We start from the raw sequence: 16,199 nt of genomic DNA on the forward strand, positions 1-16,199 counted from the left end.
AGAATATAAGTAGTGGTTTATTTATTTTTATTGATTACTCCAGTCAAAATTTTTTCAAGGAAGCTGCAGTTTCCATTCTCAAAAAGAACACTGCCAATACCACAGACAGAACAGAAAGAACGACATATGGAAGAATGCTTGCCCTATTAAAATACAAGTGCCAAACCTACTCCACCTCCTAGTTCAGTCCGTTTCTTGCATTCACTTGCTCTATTACAAAATCCATAAGTTTAAATAAAACATACTTGCAAAAAGTTGTTATTGAAATACAAAGTCAAAGTATAATAATTTTCTTAAATTATGAGCCTAATTGACTTTTTAATGGACCATTCACTTATTCCTTGACCCTGAAAGATTTTTATTTTAGGCCTCCTGTACATTGTAAATTCATTATGATCAACCTAGTTCCCAGAAGTATTGCATCATTAGAGGTACAGAGATGGAAATTAAAAGCAAAACTGAGAAGTGAACTGTGCCTTAGGCAAATTAATAATACAAGTGAAACCATTATGTAAAAATCATTGTTTGGCTGGAAATATTTGACTAAGCATCATAAAAGTATTTTGGAAAATGTTGATAGAATTCTGCATGGAAACATAGCAGTCACCTTAAACTGCAAGGAAGAAATGTTTAGAAGATGAAAAATAGTACAGGATTAATGAAGCTATCTATCCCCTGTGGCAGGTATCAAGATATAGGGGAGGTATAATGTTTCTGTCGCTCAGATTACTCTCTAAGTAAATTACATATTTGCCTGTGGATGAATCTGAGTTCACACATTTACCTGGTATAGTCTCCTCCTTTAGGGAGAAGAAACTCTTCTAGGATAGAAGTTTATACTTCTGAGTCACTAAATGCTATGGCACACACACTAAGGAACACTATGCACCCAAACCCAAAAATAGTGAATTTACTAATAAGTTTGGGAATCCCAAAATTGATGAGGATTAGAAAGAGTCCTACAAAGCAAGGTGAAATGATTTTTTAAAAATAAAAATTGAGGAGGAACCAGCCGTCTTGCTTCATAAATTTAAAATCCATATTTTTTCCCACATACATTTTCTACCCTGAAAAGCTACAGAGACTCAGAGTAACCATTCTATTCAAGAAAAACCTCAGAGGTATTAGAAGGATGAATGAAAAAATACCCAAACACTAATCTCTTTTAAATAAAACTGTTGTAGGATACTATTTTTAGTTATTTCATTCATTAAGTATTAGAGTAAAAGCAGCCTAGCTTTAGAATTATGGTAGGAATACTGGGCTTAATCTTAAAGATGCTGGGCTACAGTCCTAGCTATGGACAGTACTTAGCATTATAACCTTCATCAAGGTACCAGAAACTCACTGAAATCCCAGATTATTCAAAGTAAAACAGGCATAGTACCTCTTAGCTGTGGCTGCTCAGAAAATGAAATGTGATGACAGAGAGAAGCTCACTGTGAACCTGTAAACTCTAATAACAAAAGTGTGAGATGGCTTTCTCACCCCCTGGAATTATAATGAGAAAAATTCTAATCACTTAGAAAAACGGTTTTCGAGTGCCTGCTTAGAGTAACTCTTTTCATTCCTTTCATTGGTCTTTAAGTTCTCAACATGGAAATGATTCAACAATAGGTAACAATCTATCCGGAAGACATGGAAAACTTAAGTGGAAAATGTCACAAAATGTGAAGATGGTAAAATAGAAGGAGAATCAAGAAATAAGTGTCAGGTTTGAAAGAAAAACAACATAATGAATAACAGCCTCCTGAATTCTTATTATATTTAAAATGTGATATAAAACTTCGGAGTTTTATTTTCAGAAGAGTATTTCTTTAAAATTATTATAATATACTAAATATCCATATATCAGGCAGGATTTTAAGTACTTTTTGTGTTATTTTAAAAAATCATAAATTCAGTATTAATGTTTATTTATTCATCTAATATGCTGTTCTATTTCCTATGCAAAAGATCTTAACTAAAGCAATTAAAATCCACTTTGATGTCACAAATACATATAAGGTTTTTTTTTTTAAATCTCTCTTTACAATATATTCACCCACAACCATCAATATTTGGGTTGATACAGGAAATATGAAGAGTAATTAAATGTAAAATCTTTACATTAAAAAAGAAGAAAGTAGAAAGAAAAAAAAAAAGAACCTCTTTCTAAGGAGGTTTAATCAAGTAACTGAAGTCTACCTCTCCTGCTCCTGCTTCATTCGTATCCTCTCCTCTTCTGATGTAAAGGATTCCTGTATTTTTATTTTACCCGTTTTCTCAATCTTGTCATCTTTTCGATGTTTGCCAAACCTGTTAATAACAAAAAATTCTAACTTGTCAATATATACAAAATGAGCTTTCTTTTGTTTGTGGTAATGACATATACCCAATGAAATGAATGTTAGCTTCTTCAAAACAGGGATCAGGTGTCTTCTGCAGTCAGTAGTTTGGGTCAGGACTAGTATTTTGAATCAGATTATTTTATTCATTTTTAATTAGAACTTCCCAGAGAAAACTCTTGAGGGAAATGATCTCAATAGCAGTTTTTCCTTTAGCAAAACAAAAACAAACAACAAGAGTTGTGGTTTATCCTTATTAAACAATTAATACATCTGTAGGACTAAGTGCTGAATACTTTAGATGCTAGAGGAAGAAAGATCTGCATTGGAGTGGGTTTTTCTTAGGACTAAAGAATGATAATCCACAATCATCTAGTTAATAATCTTTCCATAAACAACTATTCTTTATTTTCACAGCCAGGCTTATTGGAAACATTCATCATAGTTTAAAAACTGACAAAGGCCATGTTTGCAAGGTTTAAAGTACAACAGATCATTTACACTGCACTTTAATTAAATTGAAAGGTTTAAGGTATTCTCATCAAATACTCTCCTAAATGTGATAAAAAGCAATTGCTGAATGTGGCATCTATGACTTATAAATCCACATCTGATCAAAAACAAACACACGGAACAAACCCATTATTGAAAAACAGTCCACACAAGTTTCTGCAGATGGGTGCTGAGCTCTTTAAGAAAACACTAACATTATTCTCTTCTGGCATCCAAAATATCCCAGTTTGATACTCAAACTTGGTATCAATTCCTTTCCCTGCTCTGTTATTTTTCTCTATAAAAGACCATATTGCCTGGAATGCATGCACTCTATATCCATAAGCAATCTTTGTCTGTAATGCACTGGTCACCAGATGTTTCAAAAAAGAAATATTTTATAGACAGTCACACAACTAAGCATTCAGAAATAATTAAAGTATATTGAGTATTTCTTTCTGAAGAATAACATCAATCTGGCGTACTGTGACAATTTCATATCGAAAAAGAGGGTCAGGCCCAGTGGTTCACGCCTGTAATTCTAGCACTTTGGGAGGCTGAGGCTTTGGGAGGCTGAGGCAGAAGGACTGCTTGAGCTCAGGAGTTCAAGACCAGCCTGGGCAACATAGCGAGACCTCGTCTCTACTAAATACCAAAACAATCAGCCAGGTGTGGTGGTGTGCACCTGTAATCCCAGCTACTCCAGAGGCTGAGGCAGAAGGATGGCTTGAGCCTGGGAGTTCGAAGCTGTGTGAACTGTGATTGCGCCACTGTGCTCCAGCCTGGGAAAAAGAGGGAGACCTTATTTCAAAAAAAAAAAAGAAAGAAAGAAACAGAGAGGAGAAAAGGGTCCCAAAGTTGACATAAAAGAGAAAAAATTATTTCTATTAATGGCTTGGTTGATAGCATTGATTTTTTTATTAATACAAATCTGATTTCCAATACTTGTCTACATATGAATTAAAGTATATGTGGGCATATCTCATCTGTTGATTAAAGTAACACTATGTTTGAAAGGGGTCTCTAAATATGGAAAGGAAAGTATTCTTAAAATGTTAAAACAGAAAAAAGGTAAAACACCACCACCACTACTTTAAAAATTACATATATTATTATACAGTAATCAAAAACTGACTGTAAATTAACTTTATAAAGCAAATCTATCCTTAAAATTAAATTTTTGATCACTGCAGTTGCAAAAAAGAAAAATAGAAAATTCTCCAGAACTGAAATCCAGAATCTGACCACATTTCACAAGGTATAAAATACATGCTATGCATTTAAAACTAATAAATACAAAACATTAAAAATAAAAGACTTTGCACTATTTTTGTCAATATATCAATAATGCCTCAGAATTACACATAATGATGGGCTTTACAGAATGAATGAATAAATGAAAAAATATTAAAAACTGATACATCTCAGGAGAAGTCAACAACTAAAACTTCACACTCATTCATCAGACAAAAATGTACTGAGCATCTACCATGCAGTCAGGGCTTATTTGGGACACCCAGGCTATAAACAGTAAACAGAGCACATTAGGTCATTTCAACTGCCATAGAGCTTCTACTGCTTATACTCAGGTAACGAATTAGCATATAACAACATCAGACTGCACAGTGCTAAGGGGGAAAGCAAAGCAGAGTAAGGAGACCAGGACTGACGGGGAGGGTGATGGCCTCTCTCCTAAGTCGACATGTGAGCAGAGATCTGAGCTAGAGGGAGCCAGCCACATTGGCATGAGTCAGCAAGGCAGAGGAGCAGGCAAGTGCCAAGGCCCTGAGACACAGGCAGGCTGAGTGTCTTTGAGGAATGGCAAGGGCCATTCTTGCCTATTCCAGTGATAGGGCTAGAATGGGAGAGAAAAAGAGAAGGCAGCAGGAAATGAAGAAGAGCAGCATCAGGGGGCAGACCACATGGATTTTGGATTTTACTGAGATGACATGAAAAGCCACTGAAGGATTTGGAACAGAGGAGCAGCACTGGTGACATTTTAATGACCCTGGATGCATGTGAAGAACTGCAGGTGAAAAGGTGAAACCAGGGAGAACGGTCAGGAGGCTATGGTGATGAACCAGCTGGTAATGGAGGACAGTGAGAGAAGTGCTTAGTTTCTGGACATATTTTCACAGCAGCACCAATAAAATTTGCTGATGGGGAGGTCATGGACGTTAGGGAAAGAGAGTCACTGATGATTCCAGGGTTTTAGCCAAGCAACTGGAAGAAAGGAGTTACCGTCCAGCAAGATATACAGGGCCAGGGAAGGAAAAGGTTTGGAGGACTTGGGGGTGAAGATATCATAACGGCAAAAATTCAAGGGACAGCATAAGGCGGGATGGATTAATCTGAGTGTCAGCAGACAGCATTTAAAGCCAGGGCATTCACTTCATCCTGGAAGTTCTGCAACACTGAGGCATCTCCAAGTATAAGATGTACAAATCCTAACTTCCAGAAAAGTATAAGTTCAAATTTTAATACATCATTTTACTTATAATGAGGTATTCCGAAGGTAAACCATTTGAACCATTTAGTGTTTCTGTTCATAAATCTTTCAAATGATACAATGTTGCCATGTTGACTTACTGATTTTTAAGACATTGTGCTGGCTCACATTCCTACATCCCAAAAGATAGAAATACAACTCTGCACCATAATTGAGAAACACCATGCTGTGACACCGAGAACAATCTACTCTCTATCTGTACCAAAAGGTACAGTTTAGTCTTTAAGAAATAGTGTACATATGCTCCTTTAGTAATGGTGAGGAAAGATTTAGATTGGTTGATTTTGCAAGTTTTAAAACAGTGTAGATATTTTCAGCCAAAAGCTAATGTTGAGTTAATTAGCTATGTTAAAATCTTTGTAGAAAATGGTATTGGTCCTACATTGTTAAGAAGGTTTCAGTTTGCCCACATAGTCTCATATATATATGAACTCAGTCAATCAACCTTCATCTTTTTCTCTTAAGTACGTATGACATTTTTTAAAGAGTAGGTTCCTGATTCATACCTAAGGATTGCATATTTTCCCACTGTGTTTGGTATTAAAATATTAATTAGTTTCCTAGACCACCCCCTAATCACTGGAATAACTATTTTTTGTAAATGTATTACCAAACTGTTATAACGCACTTTCCTTTTTTAAGAGTATAGATTTGGCCAGGTGCAGTGGCTCATGCCTGCAATCCCAGCATTTTGGGAGGTCGCCGTGGACAGATCACTTAAGGTCAGGAGTTCAAGACCAGCCTGGTCAACATGATGAAACCCCGTCTCTACTAACAATACAAAAATTAGCTGGGTGTGGTGGTACACACCTGTAGTCTCAGCTACTCAAGGGGCTGAGGTGTAAGGACTGCTTGAGCCCAGGAGATGGAGGCTGCAGTGATCCATGATTGTGCCACTGCACTCCAGCCTGGGTGACAGAGTAAGACCTTGTCTCAAAAAAAGAATACAGATTCAAGATGAATGTATGAAAATTAAAGAAACCATATGTAAAACGTTTATAGGTCAGAATTGGACATTTCTTTTAGTAATTGCTTTAGTTAATAAATTATGTGATTTCTTTAAGGTATACTATAAAATCACAGCATATTACTTTATAATTGGGACAAAAATGGATCACTCACAGCTGTAATATTCTGACAAATGAAATCAACTGTAAATAAAAAATACACTAGCCATTCTAAAATGTAAAAAAGAAAAAAAAGTATCTATACCCATATTCACCCTAATAGCCAATATTACTGTACTTCCTAATTTATAGTTGCTTAATTCCTGAAAAGGGGAGGGAGTCATTGAAAAATTTCACCTATACATATACTCGCAAAGACAGTTTCACAGCTGAAATTGGCAATCAACCTATGAAGACAATCACTTAATAGCAAAATGCTCAAAAACCTGGAAGATATCAATTATTTGTATGTTATCTTTTAAAAGCCATGGATGAATGTCAGATGAGCCACCTTCCAAGAAACAGCATAGCTGAAGAAATACTGTGTTAATAGTTGCTCCAGGACCAAACCCATTCTCAGCACAGAATCAGAGTTTTGCAATCTGCTCTGACTCACACAAACGTTCAAAGAGAAAACTTTACTACCCAGCAGGTGTCAGGCTGAAAGGTAAAGTGGCCACCTACACTGGTACCTCAGGAAGAATTTGCTAGTCATGCCTTAAGTCATATTAAAATAGAAGAACGACCTTCTTTTTTGGAGACAGGGTCTCACTCTGTCACCCGGGCTGGAGTGCAGTGGTGCAATCCAATCTCAGCTCACTGCAACCTCCTGGGCTCATGCCTTCTTCCCACCTCAGCCTCCTGAGTAGCTGGGACTACAGGTGCATGGTACCTACCATGCTCAGCTAATTTTTGTATTTTTGTTGGTAGAGATGCGGTTTCCCATATTGTCCCTGCGGGTCTTTTTTTGAGGGGAGGGTGTTGGGGGACATAGGCTTGCTCTGTTGCCCAGGCTAGAGTGCAGTGGCGCAATCTCAGCTCACTGCAACCTCCGCCTCCCAGGTTCAAGTGATTCTCCTGCCTCAGCCTCCCAAGGAGCTAGGACTACAGTCGTGCGCCACCACACCTGGCTAATTTTTGCATTTTCAGTAGAGGCGGGGTTTCGCCATGTTGGCCAGGCTGGTCTCAAACTCCTGGCCTCAAGGGATCCACCCGCACCAGATTCCCAAAGTGCTGGGACTACAGGCGTGAGCCACTGCATCTGGCCAGATCTTAATAATAATAATAATAATAATAAGTAGAGGGATAAAAAGAAAATACCTTTAAAATGTTGAGATAAATGAAAAATTGCTTAGTTGCTTAGAGGTAGTGCTGCATTAGGAGTGAAGGTACACTTTTAAAAATGCCACACTCCACCAGAAACTCCTTCACAGAAAGATGCAGTGAGCTAATCCTGTCTTATTCAGAGCAGAATTGATTCTAACATGTCTTAAATGTATGGCTTTCTTCATAAAGGACACAGCAATGTCTTCATTCAGCTAACGTAATCTCAAACTAATCTGCTAAATGGGTTTTACAATAATGCGTTACAAATGAGATCACTGCTGTCTGCCAGATCAGCCATATGTACCATTACAGTCAACAATGATGGACAAAACCTGAACTGGAGGATGAATGGGGATAGCAAAAAGCAAACAAAATGACAACAAAGGATGACAACAAATTCTACTGTTTTTATAATGAAATAAGTGTCATTGAAAAGTAACTACTGGCAAGTTTCCTTGCTATTAAAACCATCATTTGGGTTTTCAGCAAAGCAACATAATTCTCTCTGCAGTATGAATACTATTGAAATATTTTACTATTTAAATAGTAATATTTCTGCTGCTACCAAAATTAGAGGTCTTTAGAAAAAAATTACACGGAATAATAATGCATAGCATCCTGCGATAAATAAAAATACAATTAATTTTGTAATGAATGTGTTTTTCCTAATACCATACTTTGAAACATGATACAGTGTTTTTAAAAAAGTCTTAAAAATCTGCTGCCATATTTAAAAATAGATGAACAGAATATCCGGAACCAATTATCTTGTAAGGTTTAGCAATAGTCTTTAAAATAAGTTTTTCTTCAAAACACCCCACTGAAATGTCACCTAGAAATCTGTTATTTCTCACTGCTAATTACCTAGGTCTTCATGTCTAAGAAGTCTTTGCTACACCGCATGTCTATTTACCCAAAGAAATTTGTAGGTTATGTGATACTGCTTGGCTGGGGAAGAGAATTTAAAATGAATCAAATATGAGTTCAATGTCAGCTACCAGAAGCCACATATCCTCTGCAAATGCCCAACTCCTGCCCTGGCGTGGTCAATATAGTCACTAGTTCAGTATTCTGCCTTGTGTCTGACCCTCATTTCTACATATTTGCACTATCACATGATCCATTCTGTCCCTTTCTTCAGGAATTCATTTTTTCTTTCTGGAACTTTCCTGATGTTTTTGAAGACCATGTGTTTGTACAGCCATTGCATAACCTGTCTTTGACCATGGCCAGCTGTGGTAATGCTGTCATTTGTCCTAAAGATCCTTGAGAGATACCAGCTGCCCAATGAGCTGGCCTCAAGATCCTGTACAGCAAAAGCACATACCCTGTCCTGTGTCATTCCTGTGTCTCAATCCAGTTCTCTGCATAGTCCAGAGCACATTATTCACTCAAATCAAAACAAACCCATGAACTTTTCATATCATTCCTCTATTCCTCTGAGTCATACATCACCTAAATGGTTTTTGATCCAAGTTTCTCTGGGAAACTTTTAATTGATTCTTGTGCTTTTTCCACATTCTTGGTGCAGAACTAACTTCCCTCAACCAATTACCCTGGTCTCTAACACAATAACAAACTTACTTTTGCTTAAAGTCCTAATAGGTAATTGCTATAGATTTTATTCAAAGGAAAAAAAATCTAGCCATATATCTTTGTAGATTGTCCTACTACACTCTTGTCCATATGCACTGAAGATGTATGTCCACATGTTTCTGAAAATCAAAGATTAAAAATCCCACTGCAAGCTAGGACAAGGGTTCAGTTCAGCTTGTAGCTAGTTTAAAAGGTCTTAATTGGTCTGAACTTGGATATGCCTAAGAGAAAATGAAATTCCAAGACCTATGAAGTTCACTTTGTGTAATTCCTAAGTGAGACATAATTATGCACTTGTTGAATGTTCTTTTGATTATTTAATTACACTTAGCTAGAATTTATTGAATTCTTATTATGTGCTTTTATCTCATTGATTCCCACAACCAGCATGCAAGACAGGTGTTATCATCCTCATGCTTAGGGGAAACCTCAGTAAGCACAGGGGCTTGAAGGATTTGTTAGGTCATATAGTGAGTGAGTAGCAAAGCTAGAATTCATACCCAAGACACTTTTTACCACAGCCAGACACCTCATAAGCTTTAGGAACCAAAGACAGTGACTCTGTGCTCTCATACTGAAAGTAGCTGGTTAATAAATCTATGTTTAAATACATGAGATAGAACTGGGTGCACTGGCTCATGCCTGTAATCCCAACACTTTGCGAGGCCAAGGCAGGAGGATCACTTGAAGCCAGGGATTCGAGACCAGCTTGGGCAACAGAGCGAGGCTACCCTCTCCACCATCAATCAATGAGTAAATCTTGCATTGCCGGTGGAAATTAGGTCCAAAGGACATTGTTCCTGAATAGAACTTATCTCGGAAGGCCAGGGATTTGAAGGCAAGGTCAGGAACTGCTCCTAATCATTGCAAAAGATCAGAAAAACTGCCCACATACCCATTCACAGGATCCTGCCAACCTTTCTAAATGCAGTGACACTCCAAATGTCAAAATCATCTGTGCTGACATATGCAAATACTGTCAGGCAACAGCAGAAGCACGTCAAACTGCCCAAACCCATTCAGAGGGTAAAATAACAAGGAATTCACTGCATGCAGTTATCATTTGTAATGACATGCTCATGGATTCTGGCCACATTTTTTGTACCTCAGCCTCCATTTTACAAATGGGAAAAAGGAAAAGAAAATAAGTCACTTCTAATATGTCCTTCCTGTACAGGATCTTACATATTTTAGTGTCATTTTAAGAAATCGCTACCATGAAAGAGTACTGATTTGCTCAGCAGTAGATTGTGGCAATGCTGGATGAATCAGCGAAGAGGAGGTTGATTATGAAAAGCAGAAAGCTCCTATTTAGGCAAAAAAGCATCTTGGTAATCAACAATGATGAGAGAGGAGCCTTAGAAAGGGTACGTGACAACTTGATAGCGCTTTTGTAAGACAGGATGCTGTTTTAAGTTGGTGGAGTTTGGCAGAGGTTCTCTTTAAAAGGAAATTCACAAACTTGAGAATAATTATTTGATTGTGTACTTTTCATCAGTGCCAATCTGATTAGATTTAAATAAAATAAATTTGTATTGCTTGGCATCTTGGGAAAAAGAGGTAACTTTATTATTATTATTTTTTTTTTTAAAGAAAAAGCACCTTCTACTTAACCAAGCTAGAACAATCTTTAAATGTGCAATGCAACCTTAATGAATAACATATCCCTTTCAGGACTCCCATTAAATGTCCTTATAAGTGCACTCCTACTCCAGCATAGCCTGTGTTAGCTAATCAAGGATGCACTGATATGCCTCGTAACCTGACACTTCAGAAGTCCTAGAACCATATGGAACAAGGAAATATTAAAGCAATAGATGAGGAATTGGAAATAGGGGGGACAAAGGGAACCGAGCACAAAATCAATTTTGACTTTACAAGAATCACCACAAACTCCACAGATCTAAAAATCAAACAAATAAACAAAAAACTGTGGGACTCAAATATAAAGATTTAAGAGAAATAAAAGCAAACACAGTAATCCTTCAAAACACAAGATAAATACACAAATCACTGAAATAATACATATAATCTATACTTACAGCCATTCTAGTAAAATGAAAGAAGATGAGTGAAAGCATATCTTAATTATGATGCTGAAGCTTTTTGGACATCAACTAGCTGATAGACAAGAAGACATAATTTCTGCGGCAAAATATTCCCTCTTTGCAAAAGATATACCTTGGCTTGATGCACTTTATTTTTTTCAAATTATACCTACCCAGGTAATCAAACCACACTAACCCCATAACCCCAAATACCCAAATGCAAATAATAATCACATTATATTTCTGTTTCTCCCAACTAAATTGACGTTATTATAAAATATATACAAACATACTATATATATACTTTAAATATAGTAAAAGCACAGAATTCTGATTTTTCTAAATGCTTAATTTGGCATTGAAATCGGTCATGTCCACTTAAAATGATTTGGAGAGTGTCTTTCACACAACTACTTCTGTGGATCCTTTCTTTATGACTATATTCCTAATTCTTGTGCTGTTCATTTTAATGCATTATTGTTTCATAATACAATACTACAAATTGCAAATTACATTTGGCTCAAGGAGTGATTATGAAAAATACTATCACTGCTGCCTTTGCTCAAATAACTCTGATAATAATGAGAGATTGATTGAGCTTTAAGCAGCTCAAGTGATGAGAAGGGTCAATTTGAACATTTCTATTAAGCTTCTTTTGTTAAACCCAACACTTTGCCAGGTCAGAGGCAAATAATCATACCCTACATCTGGTTACCATGGTTTTCCTTTTCCTAAAGCAAGGGAACAATTTAGTAAGTGGTACTGCCCTGAAGGCAGTCCCCATAAGAAATGCTAATGAGACCTAAGTCACAAAAACACATCCATTTAAAAGGGCACTTGAAGGAAGAAAAAGGAAAAGGTGGAATGATATTTCACTACACACCTTTCTCTAGGACAAACAACAGGAGGTATTCAGTAACAAAGATAATAATTCGGGTTGCCATCTGCCTACTTAATCAAATGGCTATCCAGGTTGTAAATGCTTATGAGGTAGTACAAACACACGCACAAGGTAAGGATATCTTTGTTTGAGTTATAAACATCCACCCTCAATTAAATATGCATTGTGATTCAAATTCTATGTTTCAACTACTGACAGGAAGTGATACACATACATACGTTACAGCAACGGAAACACCTTCAAATATTTTCTTACCCTTGTATGTTCATAGAGCAGACGAAAGTCACAAAGACAGACAAATAATGTGATCATTAAAGTTTTGGGATTGGTGGTGGGGAAGCCCCAGGCTCTTTGCATAGCTTCTGGAAACTTTGAAAGATTAAAGCTTCCCTAAAGATCTCATTATCTGTAAAGTTAAGGTGACCGTCAGCACTTTTTTCTGTTGATTATAGGAAACAATTCCTTTTGATTCACATTTCTTAGCGAATGCTCTCTACAGAGTAAATTAAGAGGTGCAGATTTTCTTTTTATTTATCTTTAAGTTAATTCGCATATTCAGATTCTACATTAGGGAGCTGACATGTTTTTAAGGCCCAATAAAGGGCTCTGTGGAAAAACTGCTAAGAATTGGAAACTAAACCTAATTCTTAGAACAGGAAAGAAAAGATTCCCACAGAGGGAGCAGGTTCAAGTCAAGAGGCAAACACCCGCCATCTACCTGTGTCACAATGCCCTTTTGAAGAAAAAGGGACTAGAGGTCACATATTTGCTTAAAGTCACCATCTGTGCAGCATGCCTGTATCCTGGAGAGTTTAACACACAGAGAAAGCTGGGCATGGTAGATCACGCCTGCAATACTAGCACTTTGGGAGACAGGGGTGGGAGGATCCCTTAGGACAGGAGTTCAAGACCAGCATGGGCAACATAGTGACACCCCACCTCCACAAAAACTCAAAAATTAAAAAACACATACAGAAAATGATGGCGAGCCACCAAAAAAAATGTCAATGGCTCTCTTCCAGAAAAGATCCTTCACTCTTTGTGCTGTGGTTTCTCTCTACCAGGATGTACAGCACTAAATATTATTTACGACTCAACTGTGGTTAAGAAACCATCTGAAATCCTGGGGTGGGTGAAGCAGCAAGGGGTCAGAACACGGAGATGTGTTGTCTCATCTCCAGTCTGAATGCTGCTCATGTAAAAGGGACAAGAAATTCGGCAAATGTCAAACCTCCACATTCTTCCTTATTTGACCAAATAGTTCAACAAGCGTCCAAATATACAACTTGTTGATTTGTGCACTGGCCTGGAATTCCTCTCATCCCATTTCCATCTTCTCAGAACTGTCACGTCTGCACTGCCTGCTGTGTGGTCTCAGTCCCTAGACAGGCTCACTGGCCATCACAAGCAAGGGTAAAGTTCTGGGGGAAGCAGATCCTGTTTATCCAAGACGGAATCCTGGAACTGAAGGCAATGCTTCATCATTGCCTTCAGTCTCATTTTCTGAGTCTCCTCCAGTCAGAGCTGCTTTTGCAGGATATCATTATGTTGCTTTTCCCTGGCTGCAGGTGGAAACTATCTTGTCTAAACTAGTGTGTATACTCATGACGTATTAGCAAAACTCACTTCACTGGGGACAGTATATACACAAATCTCAGTGGGTAGAAATAACCTATATATCTTTTTTTAGCAAAGGAGTTCAGAGACTCTATTGAGGAAATAATTCAGGCATAATTAAGTTAAGGGTAGAAAACCCTGTGAAGAGGAACTTAGTGAACAACATGAGCAGACAGATGTACCCTGCCTTAAAATTTCAAAAGCCTTCCATACCCATTCTTTCATTTAGTTCTTAAAATTAAATGTGAAGAACGCGGAAAGAAGGAAAACTGAGGCTGATATGTTTAAATGCCAGAGGCAGTGGGGCAGGATGGGGCTGAGCTAGCTGGGTTGGGCAGGGAAGGCTAGAAAGTCTAAATCCCAAATTCTCTCTACTACAGTATACTTATCTCTCTCTGATTTACCTCCACTGCTTTCAATGACTAGGTTCTTCATTTAGATTTACACATTAAGAGTTCATGAAGTAAACTATATTATATTTTAAAATAAGTTATTGATGGCCCAACTATTAGCCTTTGCACAAAGAACATGTTGGACTAGAGACAGGGTCTTGCTCTGTTGCCCAGGCTGGAGTGCAGTGGTGCAATCATAGCTCACTGCAGCATCAAACTCCTGGGTTCAAGAATTCTGCCGCCTCAGCCTCCTGAGTAGCTGGGACTATAGGCACGTACCACCACACCCAGTTAATTTTTAAGTTTTTTGTAGAGACAAGGTCTTGCTATGTTGCCCAGGCTGGTCTCAAACTCCTGAGCTCAAGCAATCCCTGTCTCGGCCTCCCAAAGTGCTTGGATTAAAAGCATGAGCTCATACCTGACCAACTCATTATTTATTATACTAAAATTATATTAAAATGAACTTTATAAAGATCACTATGTAAGAATCTTTAACTAGACTATAAAATACGTGGATGTGGGAAATGTAATTTGGACTCTTAAACGTCTACCAAAATGCATGATGTGATTATTTCTCAATACAGAGTAACAATCAGTACATGCTGATGGTGGATGGGCTTGAAAGTATCAGATATAAAAGTATCAAAGCATTCCATCTAAGTCCCAGAAGACAAGATCTAACATGCTAGAACAAGAATACTTTGGGGGATAATTTCAAAGTAATCACAAGAGAGTTAGGCACCATGGCATGTTCCTATAATCCCAGATTCTTGGGAGGCTGAGGTCAAATGAGTTTGAGAACAGCCTGGGCAAAGAGCAAAACCATCTCTTAAAAACCAACCAACCAACTGACCAACAAACAAGACCCACAAGACTAAAAAGACACCTAGGTCACTACAACCAACATTAAAACACCATGATAAACAGCCTCACTCAGCCTGGGTGTTGTGGCTCACAACTGGAATTCCAGCACTTAGGACTGCTTGAGCCCAGAAGTTCAAGACCAGCCTGACAACACAGTGAGACCACGTCTCTAGAAAATATGCAAAAATTAGCCGGGTACGGTGGCGCACGCCTGTCGTCCTAGCTACTCGGGAGGCTTAGGTGGGAAGATTGCTTGAGCCCAAGAGTTTGAGGCTGTGATGAGTTATGATCACACCACTGCACTTCAGTCTCAGTGACAAAGCAAGACCCTGTCTCTAAAAAAATAAGTAAGTAAATAAATAAGAGCTTAACTCTAAAATCAAAAAGACTTGGGGTATTTGATGTGTGATAACTGGCACTATTAAATTATAATAAAACTACTGTATAAAAAATAGTAATAGCAAAGATAAAATGCAATCATTTTTTAAAACACGTAGCACACTGCTGGCAGAAATCATCACTGAATATGTAACAGACACTATTTCCTAACAAGAATATCTAAACATTCATCTCCTCCTCCATTTCCAGGTAGCTACTCTAGTCTACCTCAGTTTGGAAGCCCACGACCATTTCAGTGGTAGCATTTTCCATCATTTGTGGTCTGTTGTGGGTCTTTTTGGTTAAATGAAAATGATCTGGCCAGTGATGGTTAGTCTTGGCCAGCACAATAAAGTAAGGGTGGACAGCAGCCCAGAGTTACAAAGCAGCTGCACTTTCAGAGGCCCGAGGCCACCTGGCTTCAGAGCAGTGAGCTAGAGAGGCAGGTGCTGCAAGCTGCTCACCCAACATCCATTCTCTTCTTTCTCCTTACTAGTAAAACCCTGATGTGGCTGGGAGAGGAAATGTACCTATTCGGGATTTAAACTACATTCCCCAGCTTCCCTTGAAAACAGGAGCTGAAGATAAAAGACAGTAGTTAAGAGCATGGCCTCTGGAGCCAGAATCCTGGGTTCAAAGTCCAGCTCTGCCTCTTCCTAGCATTATGCTGTTAACTGGCTGTGAAGGGCAACTCATTTAACCTCTTTAAACCTCAATTTCCTCTTTGGTAAAATGTAACCATCCTCACAGATTTATTGTGAAGATGAAATGAATTATTCAGCCCTGTGTGTTGGCACATAAA

The 16,199-nt window shown here is 37.9% G+C and overlaps 1 protein-coding gene across 8 annotated transcripts in view; it reads right to left on the minus strand.

The window, feature by feature from the left end:
- The window catches only part of PARD3 (par-3 family cell polarity regulator), a 705,736-nt gene that overhangs the window by 172,387 nt on the left and 517,150 nt on the right, over window positions 1-16,199 (minus strand). For 5 of the 8 annotated variants that reach the window (NM_001184790.2, NM_001184788.2, NM_001184786.2 and 2 more), the window contains one exon: window positions 2,188-2,298. The exons of the other annotated variants lie outside the window; for them this stretch is intronic. In NM_001184790.2, coding sequence (NP_001171719.1) covers window positions 2,188-2,298 — 111 coding nt within the window. The remainder of the gene's footprint in view (window positions 1-2,187; window positions 2,299-16,199) is intronic. 8 annotated transcript variants of the gene reach the window in all.

Source organism: Homo sapiens, chromosome 10 (genome assembly GCF_000001405.40).
Source record: "Homo sapiens chromosome 10, GRCh38.p14 Primary Assembly".
Classification (NCBI taxonomy): domain Eukaryota; kingdom Metazoa; phylum Chordata; class Mammalia; order Primates; family Hominidae; genus Homo; species Homo sapiens.